Source organism: Homo sapiens, chromosome 20 (assembly GCF_000001405.40).
Source record: "Homo sapiens chromosome 20, GRCh38.p14 Primary Assembly".
Classification (NCBI taxonomy): domain Eukaryota; kingdom Metazoa; phylum Chordata; class Mammalia; order Primates; family Hominidae; genus Homo; species Homo sapiens.
Window position 1 is genome coordinate 43,382,710 of NC_000020.11, and position 5,600 is coordinate 43,388,309.

At 47.7% G+C, this 5,600-nt stretch overlaps 1 annotated feature.

The window, feature by feature from the left end:
- Positions 577-626: a silencer, noted in NCBI's record as "silent region_12923". NCBI's record gives its function as "represses an Ori minimal core promoter by ATAC-STARR-seq in GM12878 lymphoblastoid cells {active_cell/tissue: GM12878}" and the evidence as "EXISTENCE:reporter gene assay evidence [ECO:0000049][PMID:35858748]".

Sequence of the window (5,600 nt, forward strand, 5' to 3'; positions counted from 1 at the left end):
TCGGACTCAGCCCGCCTGCACCCAGGTGATTAAAAAGCTTTATTGCTCACACAAAGCCTGTTTGGTGGTCTCTTCACACGGACGCATGTGAAAACAGCCGCTTTTGTGGTTGCCGTGGCCCTTTGGGGGTATGAGGTAAGAAAGAGAAGAGTCTGAGCCTAAAGAGGATCATCAAACCTACTAGATGCTAATGAGGCCAAACTGAGCACATTAGGGGCAAAGACACTGTGTCTCCAGACCCACTCCCAAATGAGCATCCTGAATGAACCTTTACCTACCCAGCTCCCCTCTTTTCTGGGGACCCTCTCTAGGAACCTTCCCCACCATTTACACAGTTACTATAGAAGCAACGATTCTGTATCCCATGACCTCATTCCTCCAGCCACAGCTGTTTGGCTCGTGGTGGCCAAGGGAGCTTGACCTAAGTTGAACCAATTACTCCCTGTCCTGAAATTCTGGACATGGGACAAAGCGAGAATTGAATCTGTCCCTCCCTATGAGGGTTGAAACTGAGATTTCATGCTCCAGAGCTATTGGTCGCAATGTTGTTCTACCACTTCCATGCAAGTTTCTTTCACTTACAACCCAAAGAGATCTGACTCAAACAAGAAAACGTCCCTTTCACTATTACAGCCACCCAAGGGTAAGAATAACATTTCACAACATGCAGGAGACAAGGGGGAAATAAACCATGCAAGCTTCACCCTCAACTCAGAGAGGTGTGTTCTGGAAAGTTCCTGCCCACCTCGTCCATGACCTGTGGCCTCTGAAGATAGTGCTAGTCTCCTTGAAAACCAGAGCCATATGGGATCCCTTGGCCCCAGAAGTTATCACTAGAATCTCCCCACCATGCCTCAAGCTGATGGCAAGATTCCACATGGGAAGGAGGAAGGGAAAACATTGTGAGTCAAGGGACTGCAAGTTACTAAAGGTTGGAGATATGTTTAAGAGACAAAGAAATGCGGGTATTTTGGAGGAAAGAGTGAAGAAATACTTGAAAAGCTGTGACTCCAGACTCCCCCCACCGCTTCCAAATTAACCCCCACCATATTCACCACTGAATCCACAACAATGAAAAGTGCCTGAGGCAAAGACAGCATACATGCTCTTTTGCTAGGTGAAGAGAGGGAGGGATAAATGTTCAATGAGAGCCTTGTGTTTCTCTAAAGGCACAGAACTAGGAGCATCTGGCTGAGGTGAGGGGCGAGGACTTGGGGTGAACCTGGCAACACCTTTTGGCTGGCAGATCACAGGTAGGTGGGGAAAGTTACCTCAAGGAGTGTAGAAAGTAAACCAACCACGGAGAGAAAAGCCTGCCTGGAAACTGACCAACTATGTAATTCTGAGCTACTCCCTTCACATCTCTGAGCCTCAGTTTCCCCATCTACACAAATATAGCGCTGTCCTAGCTCTCCCTCTCTCTGGTCCCTTTCTTCTCCCAAGTCTGAGAAAATTTCATGGGGTGGGGGTGTCCCCAAACTGTTAAAGCAGAGCCGTATTCCAAGTCCTTGGCAGAGGGGGTCTCACTGTCCATCTGCTGGTTCTCCATGCAGAGAGACACCAGAATGGGTGGGTATTTGGGAGGTCTCCAACTTCTCTGAGAACATCACTGCAGATGCTCCTGAAAAGGGTGAGACGTGGGCCTTTTGGCGAGTGAGAAGTTTGGAGTACTGCCAGTCAGTCCCGTCTGTCCCCATGCTCACCAGACAGGCACCATCCCCCAGTGCAAAGCACCAAGAATTCCCCATGGGGGTGGGGAGAAGGCATCAGGTGGAGCCCCTTCCCCCGCTTCCCTGCCCAGGTATCAAAAGATGAATTCCAGGAACTGCCGGGATGGTGATGATGGAAATTACGCAACTCTCCCACGGAGACACACACGGCCACATTTAGGGGCATCCTTTTGTCCCAGTTTAGTCCACTTCTGCTCCTCGTTGCCCTGGGCAGTCAAGTCTCTTTTACAAAGATGTTTCTCAAGCCCCAGGTAATGTAGATACAAATACAGTCATGTGTCACTTAATGATGGGGATAGGTTATGAGAAATGTGTTAGGCAATTTCGTTGTTGTGTAAACATCAGAGAATGTATTTATGCAACCCTAGATAGTATAGTCTCCTATGCACCTAAGCTATATGCTATAGCCTGTTGCTCCCAGGCTACAAACTGTTCGGCATGTTACTGTCCTGACGACTATAGGCAATGGCAACACTGTGGGGAGTATTTGTGTATCTAAACATTTTTAACCAAGATGACTGGGTGCAAATTACTAACAAACAATGTCCTTTGATTGAGAACTCACAGGCCGGGCGCAGTGGCTCACGCCTGTAATCCCAGCACTTTGGGAGGTCGAGGTGGGCGGATCACCTGAAGTCAGGAGTTCGAGACCATCCTGGCCAACACGGTGAAACTCCGTCTCTACTAAAAATACAAAAATTAGCCGGGCATGGTGGTGGGTGCCTGTAATCCCAGCTACTTGGGAGGCTGAGGCATGACAATTGCTTGAACCTAGGAGGCGGAGGTTGCAGTGAGCTGAGACTGCGCCATTGCACTCCAGCCTGGGCAACAAGAGCGAAACTCTGTCTCAAAAAAAAAAAAAGAGAGAGAGAGAACTCACAATATCCTAGGGACTGTGCTAGGCTTCCTTCACTTAACTGTCACAACAACCCTATGCAGGAGGTAGTCTATCCCCTATCGAATACTGATGAGTAAACTGAAGTTCAGAAAGGCAGGACTCAGAGACTGGGACTAGCAAGACTAGAGCCAGAGTGCAAGCAGGTGTGCGCTGGTGTGTCCAGCATGGGAGATTCTCTGGTATTAAAATCTAGGCTCAGAGGCCGGGTGGAATGGCTCACATGTGTAATCCCAGCACTTTGGGAGGCCAAGGTGGGCGGATCACTTGAGGTCAGGAAGGAGTTCAAGACCAGCCTGGCCAACATGGTGAAACCCCATCTCTACTAAAAATACAAAAAATTAGCTGGGCATGGTGTTGCATGCCTATAATCCCAGCTACTCAGGAGGCTGAGGCAGGAGAATCGCCTGAACCCGGGAGACAGAGGTTGCAGTGAGCCAAGATGGCACCACTGCACTCCAGCCTGGGCGACAGAGAAGAACTCCCTCTCCAAAAAAAAAAACAAAAACAAAAACAAAAACAAACAAACAAAAAAAAGGCACTCCAGCCCGGACAACAAGAGTAAAACTCCGTTTAAAAAAAAAAAAATCTAGGCTGTGCTGGGAAGCGGTGTGGCACAGTGGTTAGGGGCACAAGCTCTATGGACAAGAGCTTGCAAACGCAAATCCCTTGTGCCCTAACCACTGTGCCACACTACTTCCGGCATAGCCCAGATCTTAAAACCAAAGAATCTCCCACACTGGACACACCAGTTCCTCACCTGCTGGCACTCCAGCTGCGGCCTCACTAGCCCCAGTCCTTAAAGAGCTGCCACACCCCTGCTCCTGCCACATCCTTTCCTCTCCCTAGAATGTTTCAGGCTCTGCTCATGGTCCCTCCTCCATGAAGACTTCCTGAGCCTCCCAGGCCCCTAAGAGAGAATTAACCCCTCTCTCCTTCACTCCACCCCTGCTGGCTCTAGATGCATCCATCACAGGAAACGTTCCCAATATTTTTATTTTTTCAATTTTATTTTAGATTCAGGGGATGCATGGGCAGGTTTGTTAGAAGGGTATGTTGCATGACATTAAAGAAAATGTGGTACATATACACCATGGAATACTACACAGCCATAAAAAAGAACGGATTCGCGTCCTTTGCAGCAACATGGATGTAGCCAGAGGCCATTATCATAAGCAAACTAACCCACTATTATTTATATACCCATTGCAGCCTTGTGGCTTCCAGTCTTCTGGGAAATATAGGCCAGGCCTTACCCATTTCTGTATGCCCAGGATCCAACACCGTGCCAGGCACACAAAGACTCTCAGTAAATAATGAGTGAATAACCAAGTAAACTAAAACCTCACCCAAAATCCAATCTCGAGCTACCCAAGACAGCAAGTTCATGGGGCAGGAATGCCTGGCACATGGCACACGCTTTCTCAATACAAACTTACATCATGAATAAAATAAATGAATGATAGCATAGCTGAGGATTTACACCCTTATTTCTAGTAACTCTCATTGTAGGTGACACAAAGGATTGGGTCCAGATACAATCTTAATGTATTAGTTCGTTCTCACACTGCTACAAAAAAACTACCTGAGACTGGGTAATGTAAGAAGAAAAGAAGTTTAATTGACTTGCAGCCCCACAGGCTGTACAGGAAGCATGGCTAGGAGGCCTCAGGAAACTTACAATCATGGCAGAAGGCAAAGGGGAAGCAAGCACCTCTTACCACAACAGAGCAAGACTGAGAGAGAGAGCAAATGGGGAAGTGCCACACGTTTTTAAGCAACCAGATTTTGTCAGAATTCACCATCATGAGAACAGCAAGGGGGACTTGCGCCCCCGTGATTCAATCACTTCCCACCAGGTCCCTCCTCCAACATATGGGGATTACAGTTCAACCTGAGATTTGTGTGAGGACACAGAGCCAAACCCTATCACTTAGGTTTGGAAAGGGAAACATCAGACTTGCTAGTTGAAAAGCAACTTTGTAAACCTTAAGCCATTATTCAGGGACAGTAAACCTTCAAAACACAATAAGAAAATAAGTCTTCAATGCAAAACTTTAACAATTAAAAGATGTTAGTCGTTCTGCATTGCAAACAGGATTAACTAAACTCTGGGGGTAAGGAGGGTCATAAGATCCCCAAAATAAAATTTTAATATGGTATATGAAGCCTTTCTGAGAGTTGAATTCTTCCAGAAGCAGACCCTGAGACAAGAATTTGAGTGTAAGTAATTTATTTGGGAGGTGACTCCCGGAAGCAGCAGCAAGGAAGAGGGAAAGAAAGACAGAAAGGATGGAAGCCAATTAATAGCATGCCGTCAGTCCAGTTACCACCGTGGGCAATGAGAGCTCAATCCTACTGGGTAGCTCTGGGGAACAGTATGGAAGACTTGGCTCTGAATTAATCCACCTAAGGGGAAGGAGAGGTGAGGTATTTATACTCCAACTCCCATCTGTCATTGCCTACTCCCAGAGCCATTAACTCCCCAGTGTTCCCAGCCCTCCAAGCACAGGGCTGAGAGGAAATCCTCAAGTGGAGACACCTTCTTACATGTACAGGGACAGCAAGTGGCAAAGGCATGAGTCGGGGTGAGTGAGCAGGGCCAGCTACAAAGCCCAAGAGGAAAACCTGGTGTGATAAGAGGAATTTGTTTCCAACTAACAGGCATCAGAACCTAATGAAAACTAAGCAAGAAAGTGGAGATCTAAGACAAAAGAAAACTCTGGGCCGGGCCCAGTGGCTCATGGCTTTGGAAGGCCGAGATGGGTGGATCACCAGCGATCAGGAGTTCAAAATCAGCCTGGCCAACATGGTGAAACCCCGTCTCTACTAAAAACACAAAATTAGCCAGGCCTGGTAGTGTGTGCCTGTAATCCCAGCTACTTGGGAGGCTGAGACAGGAGAATCCCTTGAACCCGGGAGGTGGAGGTTGCAGTAAACTGAGATTGCGTCACTGCACTCCCGCCTGGGCAACA